Source organism: Homo sapiens, chromosome 1 (genome assembly GCF_000001405.40).
Source record: "Homo sapiens chromosome 1, GRCh38.p14 Primary Assembly".
Taxonomy (NCBI): Eukaryota; Metazoa; Chordata; class Mammalia; order Primates; family Hominidae; genus Homo; species Homo sapiens.
Window position 1 is genome coordinate 229,427,183 of NC_000001.11, and position 13,068 is coordinate 229,440,250.

At 50.6% G+C, this 13,068-nt stretch overlaps 1 protein-coding gene across 1 annotated transcript, besides 6 other annotated features; it reads right to left on the reverse strand.

Annotated features, from left to right (window-relative positions):
* Positions 3,580-3,874: a silencer, noted in NCBI's record as "tiled region #11409; HepG2 Repressive DNase matched - State 12:CtcfO, and K562 Repressive DNase unmatched - State 4:PromP". NCBI's record gives its function as "represses a minimal TATA promoter and a strong SV40 promoter by Sharpr-MPRA in HepG2 and K562 cells {active_cell/tissue: HepG2 | K562}" and the evidence as "EXISTENCE:reporter gene assay evidence [ECO:0000049][PMID:27701403]".
* Positions 3,914-4,533: an enhancer, noted in NCBI's record as "H3K27ac-H3K4me1 hESC enhancer chr1:229566843-229567462 (GRCh37/hg19 assembly coordinates)". NCBI's record gives its function as "activates a minimal SCP1, AML or CMV promoter by ChIP-STARR-seq in naive H9 embryonic stem cells {active_cell/tissue: H9 hESC(naive)}" and the evidence as "EXISTENCE:reporter gene assay evidence [ECO:0000049][PMID:30033119]".
* Positions 4,063-6,912, reverse strand: ACTA1 (actin alpha 1, skeletal muscle). Its single transcript, NM_001100.4, has 7 exons — positions 6,822-6,912; positions 5,805-5,945; positions 5,374-5,698; positions 5,088-5,249; positions 4,812-5,003; positions 4,539-4,720; positions 4,063-4,460 (listed from the first exon to the last, which is right to left on the reverse strand). The coding sequence occupies exons 2-7, from the start codon at positions 5,931-5,933 to the stop codon at positions 4,317-4,319; spliced, it is 1,134 nt and encodes a 377-aa protein (NP_001091.1). The 5' UTR covers positions 5,934-5,945; positions 6,822-6,912; the 3' UTR covers positions 4,063-4,316.
* Positions 4,534-5,155: an enhancer, noted in NCBI's record as "H3K27ac-H3K4me1 hESC enhancer chr1:229567463-229568084 (GRCh37/hg19 assembly coordinates)". NCBI's record gives its function as "activates a minimal SCP1, AML or CMV promoter by ChIP-STARR-seq in naive H9 embryonic stem cells {active_cell/tissue: H9 hESC(naive)}" and the evidence as "EXISTENCE:reporter gene assay evidence [ECO:0000049][PMID:30033119]".
* Positions 6,620-6,914: a silencer, noted in NCBI's record as "tiled region #2214; K562 Repressive non-DNase unmatched - State 21:Repr". NCBI's record gives its function as "represses a minimal TATA promoter and a strong SV40 promoter by Sharpr-MPRA in K562 cells {active_cell/tissue: K562}" and the evidence as "EXISTENCE:reporter gene assay evidence [ECO:0000049][PMID:27701403]".
* Positions 10,386-10,586: a silencer, noted in NCBI's record as "peak754 fragment used in MPRA reporter construct". NCBI's record gives its function as "represses an SCP1 promoter by STARR-seq MPRAs in K562 erythroleukemia cells {active_cell/tissue: K562}" and the evidence as "EXISTENCE:reporter gene assay evidence [ECO:0000049][PMID:32103011]".
* Positions 11,052-11,131: a silencer, noted in NCBI's record as "silent region_1929". NCBI's record gives its function as "represses an Ori minimal core promoter by ATAC-STARR-seq in GM12878 lymphoblastoid cells {active_cell/tissue: GM12878}" and the evidence as "EXISTENCE:reporter gene assay evidence [ECO:0000049][PMID:35858748]".

Sequence of the window (13,068 nt, forward strand, 5' to 3'; positions counted from 1 at the left end):
GCAGCCCCCAGTGTGCTCTGTGGCAAAAAGAGACTCAAGAAGAGCCTAGTATCACAGCCCATGCCTGTAATCCCAGCTACTAGACCAGCCTGGGAAACCTAGTGAAACCCTGTCTTAAAAAAAGGATGGGGGGCGGGGCAGGGGGCAAGCACAGTGGCTCGCACCTGCAATCTCTGCTTTTGAAGGCTGAAGCAGGAGGATCGCTTGAGCCCAGGAGATCAAGGCTGCAGTGAGCTATGACTGGACCACTGCACTCTAGCCTGGGTGAGACAGTGAGACCCTGTCTCTAAAATATAAAAAATAAAAATACATTTTAACAAAAAGAGCCAAGGCATGAGAGGCTAGTCGTGATAAGGATCATGGCAGCAGAATCCTAGGGATGGGACATATCTTGGCCTTTTCTGTACCCTTTGCACATAGAAGCTGAGCAATATGGCCAGGCATGGTGGCTCACGCCTGCAGTCCCAACACTTTGGGAGGCCAAGGTAGGAGGATCAGTTGAGCCCAGGAGTTCAAGATTGTCCTGGGCAACAGAGCAAGACCCCATCTCTACGTAAAATAAAAAAAAATTAGCCAGTGTGGTGGTACATGCTTGTAGTCCTAGCTACTTGGGAGGCTGAGGCAGGAGCATCATTTGAGCCCAGGAGCTTAAGGCTACAGTGAGCTATGATCACATTACTGCACTCCAGCCTGGGCAACAGAGCTAGACTCTGTCTCTAGAAAAATAAAACAAAAAACCAAGAAGCTGGGCAATACAATAGTTCACTAACCCTTTGTACGTTCTGCCACATCTGAGGTGAATGCAATAGACCATGGGACAGATGCAGCAGGAAGGACCTTGATATCCCCAAATTCTAACCTCCAAAGGTTTAAATGAGAGAGCCCAGGGTGTGCCCGAGTCCTGAGACCTTTCATTCTTTTTTCTCAATCCTAGTCCCACGCTTTAATCTGGACACACTGTCTCTTTCCATTTTCTTCTTTCCCCTGTCGTTCTCCTCCTGTACAATAGTAATATAGATTTAGTAGGGAAAAATTTTAGTGGCAACTTAATGAGCTTTTATGAGAAGGAAATAAGTCCAGTTAGAGCCTTGATGAGTCCTGTTTCCACATCTAAGGAAACACGGTAAGCAATAGGTGGGGGGAATCCCTGTGGCCTTCACTTCTCTCACAGCTCTAAATGGATTCTCTGAGAGGGCTTTTCGGTGGGAAGTCTGCTATGGCATATCCCCTCTGCAAGGCCCAGCACAGTGTTGCCACGCAGGGTCTTGGTTCTTGTTACCACAAACACCTGTGTAGCTGCTGAAAATAGTTACTTCTGTCCTCATGTAGTACAAATATTTGTATATGTTCTAGATTGTTTTTAAAGATTCATTCCTGACCACACCACACCACAGAAAAAATCCTCTTTCAGGCCTAATATTGGTAACACAATTTACAAAATACCTGTAGCCACAACCCAATATGAGAGCAGAAAAGATATGGAATACTAATAAAATGCAAGATGCTTGTTTCCTTTTAGAGAAGTGTCAGAAAAGAAATGGCATTTTTGGCCAGGCGTGGTGGCTCATGCCTGTAATCCCAGCACTTTGGGAGGCCGAGGCAGGCAGATCACTTGAGGTCAGGAGTTCAAGACCAGCCTGGCCAACATGGTGAAACCCTGTCTCTACTAAAAATACAAAAATTAGCCAGGTGCGGTGCACACCTGTAATCCCAGCTACCGGGGAGGCTGAGGCAGGAGAATTGTTTGAGCCCAGGAGGCAGAAGTTGCAGTGAGCCGAGATTGAGCCACTGCACTCTAGTCTGGGTGACAATGCGAGACTCCATCTCAAAATAAATAAATAATAAATGATTTTTTTAGATTTCGTGCATTTCCAGTGAAAACATGTAATTTATAATTTTTGCACTTATTTTTGGTAAAACAGTAATGTCAATGATGGGTTTTAAAAATTGGCACTTGACAAAACACTATCACAGTGTATTGAAAACTTCTGTCAGTTCTAAACTATTATGAGTCATTTACAGATTATGATCATAGGAGAAATAGACCTTACATATCTTACTTAAATCCCAATTGATTTAGGGTTCTGGTTCAAAAATCGTTAGCATGACAGTCAGCTAACACATGTAATAGTGATATTTTACCAGGCTGCTGGCTACATGAATGAATTTATTTATTTATTTTTGAAACAGGGTCTCACTGCACCCAGGCTGGATTGCAGTGGCATAATCTTGGCTCACTGCAAGCTCTGCCTCTTGGGGCTCAAGTGATTCTCCCACTTCCGCGTTCCGAGTAGCTGGGACTACAGGTGCACACCACCATGACTAGCTAATTTTTGTATTTTTAGTAGAGGCAGGGTTTCACCACGCTGGACAGGCTGGTCTCGAACTCCTGGCCTCAAGTGATCCGCCCACCTCGGCCTCCCAAAGTGCTGAGATTACAGGTGTGAGCCACTGCATCTGGCCACGAATGAATTATTTAAGCTATGTGTGTGTAGGTTATGTTTGCTCAGATATGCCTTTGCATATTCAATATTACCAATATGTTAGAGTATTATTATATCAGATATGTATATATGTGGTTAGTATTATCAACAAAAGCTGTATACCTCTGAAAGACTAGTATTTAGCCCATTTTTAACCTTCATCCACCCTGAGTGGGACAATACAAGGTTTTCAATGAACATGGTATTATATACTTCTTTTATTAAAATCTTAAATTTTAGCAATATTGTCAACTCTCTTGATATCTGGATTTGACAGTACCATGCCTTTTGAGGCCTCAAAGATTTCTGAAGTTTTTCAATAAGCCAGAAGATGAGGGATTAAACATATGACTACGTGGCATGTAACATAGCTATTTTGTCAATTGCAGCTATAAACTTATTTACAAACGAGTTTATTACTTTGAGTCTGAATCCATTATATTTAGGGGCCACTGCTCTTGAGAAACTTGACTAGGAAACATTAAGCTCCCTTTAAGGAATAGGTATTGCACTCTCCCACAGAAGTTCAAACTGTTGATAAATTTGATGCCTTTAAAACTTGTTTTGGGGGTGAGGGTGTTCCTCCTCCCCTTGCTTACCTCCCCGTCTTCCAGCGTGAGCCTCAGCTTCCCACCCCTCCGACGCTTCTTTGCTGCCCTTCTTTCTGGAGCTCTCACTTGGCCCTCCCTTGCCTCCTTCCCAGGTCCTGCACGAGGGGGTGTTTCTTTCTACCAGCAGCACCTGGTGTGAAGCAAAGGACTTCCCCATTGGAGAGAGGCAGTGACGGTCTTCACTTGCAAATTAAAACTCATTTATTAAGCCTGGACATAGTGGCACAGACCTGTAATCCCAGAACTTTGAGGGGCTGAGGCAGAAGCATTGCTTGTGGCCAGGAGTTCGAGACCAGCCTGGGCAGCATAACAAGACCCTGAGACCCTGTCTCTACAATAAAAATAAAAAACTGGCTGGACGCGGTGGCACATGCGAAAATATTAGCAACTGGGGAGGCTGAGGTGGGAGGACCCCTTGAGCTCAATTAGAGGATACAGTTGGGCTCTGATCACACCACTGCTCTCCACCGTGGGCGACAGGGCGAGACCCTGTCTCTATTAAAAAACAAAAACAAAAACAAAAACAAAATGACTTGTTACATGCAGAACACAACCCCCTCTCAGATCTGGAGATTCAGTAGGGGAACACCATAGGCGGAGCTGAGACGCCCTCTGAGAAACAGCTCTCCAGCCCCAGCACCATGGTCAGCGCCCGCTGCCTGAGGGGACCCAGGGCCACCAGCGGAGGCCGCCCCGGCAGTGCTGGCAACACTCGGGAGCGCTGCGCAGAGGAAGAAAGCTGCCTCGCCACACCCCAGAGGGTCAAGTCAGGCCACCACTAGCTGCCAGTGATCTGGAATGGATCTGATCCACTGCAGAAACCGGCAGGGGAGCATGGGAAGATGTAAGTTTTGTCTTCCAAGGAGCCCATTCATTTGGGGTATCGTGAAAAGTGACTTAAGAGGATGTGGGGGATGGGAATCCCTCTTCCTGCTCCACTCCCGCCCCAAGCAAATAAACACGACCACTTTACGCAGCTTAACAGAATGACTTTAATGCTTCTTCAAGTTTTCCATTTTCTTCCACAGGGCTTTGTTTCGAAAAATAACAAAATGAGGTAATAAGTTAATGTATGTACACGTTATAAACACTGTGTCAGTTTACGATGGCAGCAACGGAAGTTGTTACAAAGAAAGTGACTGCGGGGTGGCTGGAGCTCAGCCGCCCCCCCATTGAGAAGATTCGTCGTCCTGAGAAGTCGCGTGCTGGAGGTGGAGTGTGTCTAGAAGCATTTGCGGTGGACGATGGAAGGGCCGGCCTCGTCGTACTCCTGCTTGGTGATCCACATCTGCTGGAAGGTGGACAGCGAGGCCAGGATGGAGCCGCCGATCCACACCGAGTATTTGCGCTCCGGCGGGGCGATGATCTGCAAGACAGCGCGTGAGGTGGGGAGACCTCACCCTGGAGCCCACCCCGCCGACAGCCCGCGCAGGCCACCACCCACCTTGATCTTCATGGTGCTGGGTGCCAGCGCGGTGATCTCTTTCTGCATGCGGTCAGCGATCCCAGGGTACATCGTGGTGCCCCCCGACATGACGTTGTTGGCATACAGGTCCTTCCTGATGTCGATGTCACACTTCATGATGCTGTTGTAGGTGGTCTCGTGAATGCCCGCCGACTCCATACCTGGGGACCGCGGCGGGGAGCGTGAGCAGAAGCTCGGGGCGCCGGGGGCCGGCGGGGCCTGGGGGCCGGGGCGAGGGCGAGCGGGGCTCACCGATGAAGGAGGGCTGGAAGAGCGTCTCCGGGCAGCGGAAGCGCTCGTTGCCGATGGTGATGACCTGCCCGTCTGGCAGCTCGTAGCTCTTTTCCAGGGAGGAGGAGGAGGCGGCCGTCGCCATCTCGTTCTCGAAGTCCAGGGCCACGTAGCACAGCTTCTCCTTGATGTCGCGCACGATCTCGCGCTCAGCTGCGGAGGGCAGAAGCAGGAGAGGAGCCCTCACTCAGGGGCCGCCGCCGGCCCTCCCGCCCGGGGTGCAGGGGCGCCGCGCACCTGTGGTCACGAAGGAGTAGCCACGCTCAGTGAGGATCTTCATCAGGTAGTCGGTGAGATCGCGGCCCGCCAGGTCCAGGCGCATGATGGCGTGCGGCAGCGCGTAGCCCTCATAAATGGGCACGTTGTGGGTGACGCCGTCGCCGGAGTCCAGCACGATGCCTGTGCGCGCGCGGGAGAGAGTGAGTGGCTGGGGGCGAGGCCGAGGCTAGGCTCTCAGCGCTAGCGGCGGGGGCGGGGGCGGGGGCGGGGGCGGGAGAGGGGACTGGGGGCAGCGGGCACTCACCGGTGGTCCTGCCGGAGGCGTAGAGGGACAGCACGGCCTGGATGGCCACGTACATGGCGGGCACGTTGAAGGTCTCAAACATGATCTGGGTCATCTTCTCGCGGTTGGCCTTGGGATTGAGGGGGGCCTCGGTGAGCAGGGTGGGGTGCTCCTCGGGAGCCACGCGAAGCTCGTTGTAGAAGGTGTGGTGCCAGATCTTCTCCATGTCATCCCAGTTGGTGATGATGCCGTGCTCGATAGGGTACTTCAGGGTCAGGATACCTCTCTTGCTCTGAGCCTCGTCGCCCACGTAGGAATCTTTCTGACCCATACCGACCATGACGCCCTGCAGAGCCGAGACACCACGCACCCGTTAACGCCGCTCCGGGTGGCACCAGGCTGGCTTACGCGGGGACCCCGAGCCGGCTCCCTCTGCGGAGGGGCAGCCTGACCTGGTGTCGGGGGCGGCCCACGATGGACGGGAACACGGCCCTAGGGGCGTCATCCCCGGCGAAGCCGGCTTTCACCAGGCCGGAGCCATTGTCGCACACGAGGGCGGTGGTCTCGTCTTCGTCGCACATTGTGTCTAGTTTCTGCAAGGACAGGGAGACCGCGAAGAGGCGCGGTGCATCAGCGCAGAAGTCTCAGCGGCAGGGGGGGGTAAGCCTGGCTGGCCCCGACGTCCTCCCTCCCCAGGAACCTAGGGACATCTCCTGCCGGAGCCACTCAAATTCTGCCAGGGCGGCGACCAGGGGTTCTCTTCTCGACCTTTGCCCCGGCTAAGGGCTGCCCTGAACCAGGAAAAGGGGCACAGGGTCGCGAGACCCCACTGAGAAGTCCTCTGTCCACATAGCCAGGGGAACATGTTCCCCAAGACCTGTCTGCCCTCCCTGCCTGACACCTGTTCCAGGAGCTGGACGCTAGTGCCCATCCTCTCTGCGCCTCCCTGACCACATCTGTCACCTAGGGAGATAAGGCCTCAGCACTGCCTGCTTGCTGGGCCAGCGTGAGGGTGGAAGGAGATGCCCATGGGAAAGGCGTTGGCACCCCATCCAGGGAAGAGTGGCCTGTTAGGAACCCTGTGACATTTCAAACTCAGAAAGGGCCTTTTCGCCTGTTGGAAACCCAGAATGGGTGGTCCTGGCTGCTCGCTCATTCGCTCTAGCGCTAGTTTGGAAGGGAACTGCCTTGGCGACAACTAAAGCAAAACCGTTTATCTCCCTAGGCACATCCTACATGCCAGGTAAAGGAGCCCAAAGGGGCTAGAGAAAAATTTGGAGAAGTCTAATTTCCAGAGGCTGACTGTCTTGCCTCCTTTTTAAAGCGCGTGTGGCTCCGGAGACGAGGCACAGCGCTCAGGGCGCAGGCCTGGGGCTGACCAGGTGAACCGACTGGGTTCTGCCCCGGAGTCCTTCAGGTTCCCCTCGGTAGTGCCCTGTCCCCCTGTCCCCTCCCAACTCCTGCCCTACCTGGGCGGGTAGCTACAACTGCTACTCTCGGCTCGGGCCCTGGTCGCCGCGGAGGGGAAGCGAGGCTTCACTTGGCGCTGTCCGCTGCGGTGGCCGCTTGTCCCTCTGCTCAGGTTTTATATAGCCCGCGGGCATTCCCTCCGCGCCACCCCGCAGGAATGTCGCTGCCCTTCTCGAGCCATATTTGGGTGTTGGGCACTAGAGCCCCCTCCCTCGGCCGGTTCGCGGCCTGGGCCCCCGCCCGGGTCCCCTGCGTTGACCAAAGAAGGAGCGGGTTGGCCCGGTCCCAGGTAACGCGGGCCGGGCCGTATATGGAGTGTCTCCCTAGCGGGTTTGCCCCTCCTGACCCGACCCAGTTGCCCGCCGGAGGGGATGGGGTGGGGCGAGGGTCACCGCGTTCGCCGGTGGGTGCATGTGTGCGCCTGCGCTCCGGGAACCGCACCTGTCCCAAAGGCCTCCCCAACCATGTCCACTCTGAGCGCCCTGGGCGCTCGGGAAGGTGCCTGACTGCTGACTTCCAATATTTCAACTCCTCTTCGGGTTCTTTGCTCAGATCCCCAAACTCCCACTTGCGACTACCGGGAAGAGGGAGTCGTGTGGAGTGGTGGGCTTGGGAGGATTGGAGAAGCAGTCACTCCTGAGTCTCAGGAAGGGAAGGAAGGCGAACTCCCTCTCCTTTACGCCCCTGGAACTCCATTTCTCTCTTCCCACCCCCGAGCTCCCTGAATCCAAAAAGCTGAGCCACGTCGACCCCTTCCCCCACCGCACAGAGGGCCACCGGCGGCCGGAGGGCGCGCAGCTGTCGCAGGATAGACAACTGGCGGGGGGAGGCGAGGGCGGAGCGCCGGGGAGGAGGCGCGGGGGCTCCCGGGGATAGGCCTGTCAGGCGCAAAGCCTGAGCACACGGAGCTGTCCGCCTCAGGGACGCGCAGCGCCCTTGGGTCTCCTAAAGGGATTGAAGGGGTGAGGGTTCCCCTCCTGTAGGACGCACTGGCCCCAGGTTTTGGTGGGCTGAGGCCCTCCCCCAGCCTCTTTGGTGGCACTATGTGTGTCCCTCTCCTGGGGCTGAAAGACAAGGGTCACAACCCAGGACTGGCTAGACCTGGAGTGGAGGTGGAGATGGGTGAGGGGCTCTTCCTAGATGAGGCTTAGCTGGTCCTTCCTCCCAATAAATTGGAGGGGGTGGGGGGACAAGGACGCGGCACTCTAGGATGGGTGGCAGTTTTTCCTTCTGCAAAGGCTGAACAAACTCATCTTTATATTTAGAGGATGATGCCTGCCAAGGCCGGGCTGCCTCCCAGTCCACCTTGTAGTCATCATTTACCAGAGCCTGCTGCAGGTTCTATTTATATCACTGATATATGGGGCTATGCCTTTCAGATTTTCTAGAAGGATTTGGAGCTACTTATGGTAAAGTAGAGTGGGGGTCAGCAGAGGTTACCCAGTTGGTGCCTGTCCCTCTCTCTCTCTCTCTCTCTCTCTCTCTCTCTCTCTCTCTCTCTCTCTCTCCTTTTTCCCTAAGACAAGGACAGTTCTAACCTTGTGGAGGGCACAGGAGGAGCAGTCTTCTGTGATGAACTCAGGGACATGCTTTAAGGGGGTACATCAGTGATGTGGTGTGGGCCAGAACAGAATCACTCATTTTTCGGATGTGCTTAAGTGCTCCTAAAATAGTTGCAATTCACTTTTGGTAGTGGAACCCAGCAACTGGGACAGGTGTGGATTCTCTAAAAGGGGGATGGAAGCATATGCGACCCTCCTCTGTAGCCCACATCATGGCAGTTCATCCCAAAAATAAACAAGTATTAACAAAAATGTTCTAGTGAATAAAATGCTACCTTCCTAAAAATGATCAATTAAAAAATAAGGAGTTTGACTAGTATAGGGACTATGCGGTGAGGATAAAGTCTCCTATGGTTCCATATTTAGTTCTTCCAAGTATTTTGGAGAGTAAGTGAATAATTGACAGAACTGTATTTCCTTTTTAACATCCTGTGTCCTCCTGTGTCAGCGAGTAGTGGAGATACTAGAAAAAAACCACTTAGCAAATGAGCTGCATGTAACGTAAGGGGACTAGCTTACATTTGGGCCTTGAAGGTAGGAAATTTGCTGCCGTTCACTGGATACCTCAATATTTGTGCGCATTCCAAAGGAGAATGGGATTGTCACTATTTTTCAAAACTCTTGCTCAGTTCAACTCTTACCTTTCCTTACAGAAAGCTTTTCTAAGCTCAGTCTGTTACATTCAAACCCACACTAAAAGCTGACCATGATTAAAAACACTCACAAGCGAACAGAGACCTGCTAGTACAGCAAACTGTGGGAGATGGCCCCTGAGGTGGCCAGCCAGGCATCTGTTCCCTGCCCACATGATTTGCGGCTGGTTTAAATAGTCCCTGACAGGTCACCACAGGCCACCCTCAGTCCCATTCTGGTCTTGTTGCATTCTCATTGGCTTAGAGAATAGACTGAATGGTGGGTGGCAGAGCCACGTCTCCATACATGTATGTTTTGGGGGAGCGCAGCGGCGCCCTGCTCCGCCTTTTGAGAACTGTCACTAAGTAAAGGTCAGCCATGTAGGGTATGCTTGACAGGGAGTTCCTGCTTCTAAGTTTTCAGGTGCAGCCTCAGCTCTTCATACCCTGACCGGGCCCTTCTGCTACCACTACCCCGGTGTGTTCACACTTCCCTTCTCTCCAATTGTGCCCCTCAACACTCCACACACCCGTACCCCAATCTTGCTCAGTTCCAGTCTTCCTACTGTGTTTCCTATCAATTTAAACAGGAATTGGTAAAACACTTTATAATATGCTTTCGTGTTTCAATTAACCGTTTAACTATCCTAAGGTAAATAAGATAGGTATTACTCATTCCAGTTTTTTTTCTTTTTTAAAGAAAACTGAGGCTTAATGAGCTAAAACACACCCCAGGTTCCACAGCAGCCAGTGGAGGAGACGGGCTTGGGCTGTCCTTCCTTCTACTGCCAGTGGCCAGGGAGGGCAAGGACTGCTGCTTCTCTCTAATCCTCACCAACACTGGGTACAGTTCGAAACAGAACAGGCCCTTGAGGGATCTTTCCCAGTAATGAGCCAAAGACATCCTGACATGAAAAGCCGTAGCTTCCCCAGAAACTCAGCTTTGAGGGGCTGGCTGGGCACTCCAAGTTAGAGATATTCCAGGAACAGGGTAGACAAAGACCAACTCATTCTCACAAGCTACTTAAAAACGTCGGGTCGGCCAGGCGCGGTGGCCCATGCCTGTAATCCCAGCACTTTGGGAAGCCGAGGCTGGTGGATCACTTGAGGTCAGGAGTTCAAGACCAGCCTGGCCAACATGGTGAAACCCCGTCTCTACTAAAAACACAAAAATTAGCCAGGCGTGGTGGTGCACACCTATAATCCCAGCTACTCGGGAGGCTGAGACAGGAGAATCACTTGAACCTGGGAGGCAGAGGTTGCAGTGAGCCGAGATCCCACCACTGCACGCCAGGCCTGGGCAACAGAGAGAGACTCCATCTCAAAAAAAAAAAAAAAAAAAAAGTTGAGTCAACTCCTGGCAGCCCAAAGAAAGGGCTTGGGCTTGGATTTTCTACTTTTTCCTCCTCCTGAAGCTGGTGGTTTTTGCACTCATGGCCACCTCTAAGAACCTGATGATTCATTGGAGCAGTGCCCTCTCTTCAACATTCTTTATACCCAGAATATCATGAACTGGTTAGGAGCTTGCATTCTGGAATCAAGCAGAGCTGCATTTACCTTCCCCTCTGACTGGCTATGTGATCTTGGACAAGTGACTTTCCAGAAAGCATTCTCAACTCACAATACTCCTTAAGACTGATCTGAGGATTAAAACCAGGTGAGAGCTGAGTGCGGTGGCTCACGTCTGTAATCCCAGCACTTTGGGAGGCCCAGGTGGACAGATCACTTGAGGTCAGGAGTTCAACACCAGCCTGGCCAACATGGTGAAACCTGGTCTCTACTAAAAATACAAAAAAATTAGCTGGGCATGGTGGCGGGTGCCTGTAATCCCAGCTACTAGGGAGGCTGAGGCAGGAGAATCTCTTGAACCCAAGAGACAGGCTGCAGTGAGCTGAGATTGCGCTACTGCACTCCAGCCTAGGAACAGAGCAAGACTCCGTCTCAAAAAACCAAAACCAAAACCAAAAACAAAACAACAAACTAGGTGAGTACCTAAGACATATGAAACATTCAGCACATGGTGCCATGTCTTGCTTCCAATGACTAAGGGCTTGGGGCAGGTGCACACAGTGCAGTGGCAGAAAAGGTGAGAAAAGAACATTAAAGTCATTGGCCTGCTCAGTATACACACATCAATGTCACTGCAACTGAGCAAGGAGAGTCAATGTCATGTTCACCGTATTTGGAGGGCATAAAGATTTTTGTACAAAGATTTATTCTAGCATTATTTAAAATGGTCAAAAAAATGTGTCTTTTGAGAGAGAGCTACAGCAAGAGAATAAGGGCTGTTACATTAATTATGGTTCTGCCATATGGTAAAGTATCACGCATTTAAAACATTGTATTCTAAATAATAATTAAGATGGGCATTCTCAAAGGGGGAAAACTTGGTTCTTAGAGAGTGAAAAAAATTCAGATAGTACAATGGTTTATGGCTTCCAAAGGCCACAGTACATTTAAAAGATAGTCGGCCAAGTGTGGTGGCTCACGCCTATAATCCCAGCACTTTGGGAGGCCGAGGCAGGCAGATCACCTGAGGTCAGGAGTTCTAGACCAGCCTGGCCAACATGGTGAAACCCTGTCTCTATTAAAAATACAAAAATTAGCCAGGCATGATGGCGGGTGCCTGTAATCCCAGCTACTCGGGAGGCTGAGGCAGGAGAATTGCTTGAACCCAGGAGGCAGAGGTTGCAGCGAGCCAAGATCGCGCCACTGCACTCCAGCCTGGGTGACAGAGCAAGACTCCATTTCCAAATGAATGAATGAATGAATGAATGAATGAATGAATGATATATAGTAGGTCTGTGGTATTACACTTTCTTTGGAGTGGGAGGTGATTAGGAAAAACTGTCTAAAAAGGCTCCTCAGGAGGGGTGATAAAAAAAAAAAGGTCAAGAAACACTGGATTAAGGATACAGCAAAATGCTCACATCTCCCATGAGAAAAGTAGGTTACAAAATGAAAAAGCATATGCAGTCCAAAAGTCTATTTCATAATGGTGACTAATTATTTCCAGCTGGTGGGATTACAGAGGTCTATTTTCTTTTTCATTTTCTACAGTGTTTTTCTTAAAATTTAGAATTACATAATATTATTTGAGACAGGGTCTTAATCTGTCACCCAGGCTGGAGTGCAGTGGTGTGATCATGGCTCACTGTAGTCACAAACTCCTGGGCTCAAGCAATCCTCCCAACTCAGCCTCACAAGTAGCTAGGACTACAGGCACACATAACCATGCCTGGCTAATTTTTGTAATTTTTTTTGTACAGACAGGGTCTTGCTGTGTTGCCCAGGCTGGTTGTGAATTCCTCAGCTCAAACGATTCTCCCATCTTGGTCACCCAAAGTGCTAGGATTACAGGTGTGAGCCACCATACCTGACCCAGTATTATTTTTTTTAAATGTATCTTGGTTTTTAATGAGTGGATTTGTTTACACGGGTGTGTGTGTGTGTATATATATATATATATATATATTTTTTTTTTTTTTTTCACGCATCCTCAGGATAAAATGTCAGGAACAGGCTACACTGCTTTTGTAGTTAGCCTCAAAATGTCCAGGTGTGTAGGATGTAGGTGGGTGATGGTAGGAAAACTACGATTCAGCCCCTAAAGTAAAAAAAGAAACACAGTTCAATCATTAAAAATGAAAGCCCTCAAAGAGAGGCGTCAGTAGCCTTTACCTCACTCAGGAGTTCAGCAAGTTTTTACTGTCTATCTCCAGGTCTGCTGCAATCCTTGACACCATTCTGTCCACAAATCCTCCAGACGCGCCAGTCTCCATGCCTGCGTACACTCCCCTCTGCTCAGGATCGCACACGACACTTTACTCTTGTATTCTGTCAAGGTCCCAAGCTGGGACTCTCAGGGCAGCACTTATAGACAGGTGTGATCACGAACCTTTTCCAAGTCAGTAAAGTATCTCTTTCCACAGAAATGTCAACACAGCATCTGTATACTTATCAGCTACTTGATTTATATAAAAACCATTAATAACTCGTTGATGAAGACTACGTTGTGAAACCAATTTTTAAAATTCTAGAGAAAAAATTAT

Coding starts and splice junctions, on each gene's coding strand:
- ACTA1 (NM_001100.4), bottom strand. CDS start 5,933: ATGTGCGACGAAGACGAGACCACCGCCCTCGTGTGCGACAATGGCTCC. Junction 4,721..4,811: donor CTTCCAGCCCTCCTTCATCG/GTGAGCCCCGCT, acceptor CGCGGTCCCCAG/GTATGGAGTCGGCGGGCATT. Junction 4,461..4,538: donor CCAGCACCATGAAGATCAAG/GTGGGTGGTGGC, acceptor GCTGTCTTGCAG/ATCATCGCCCCGCCGGAGCG.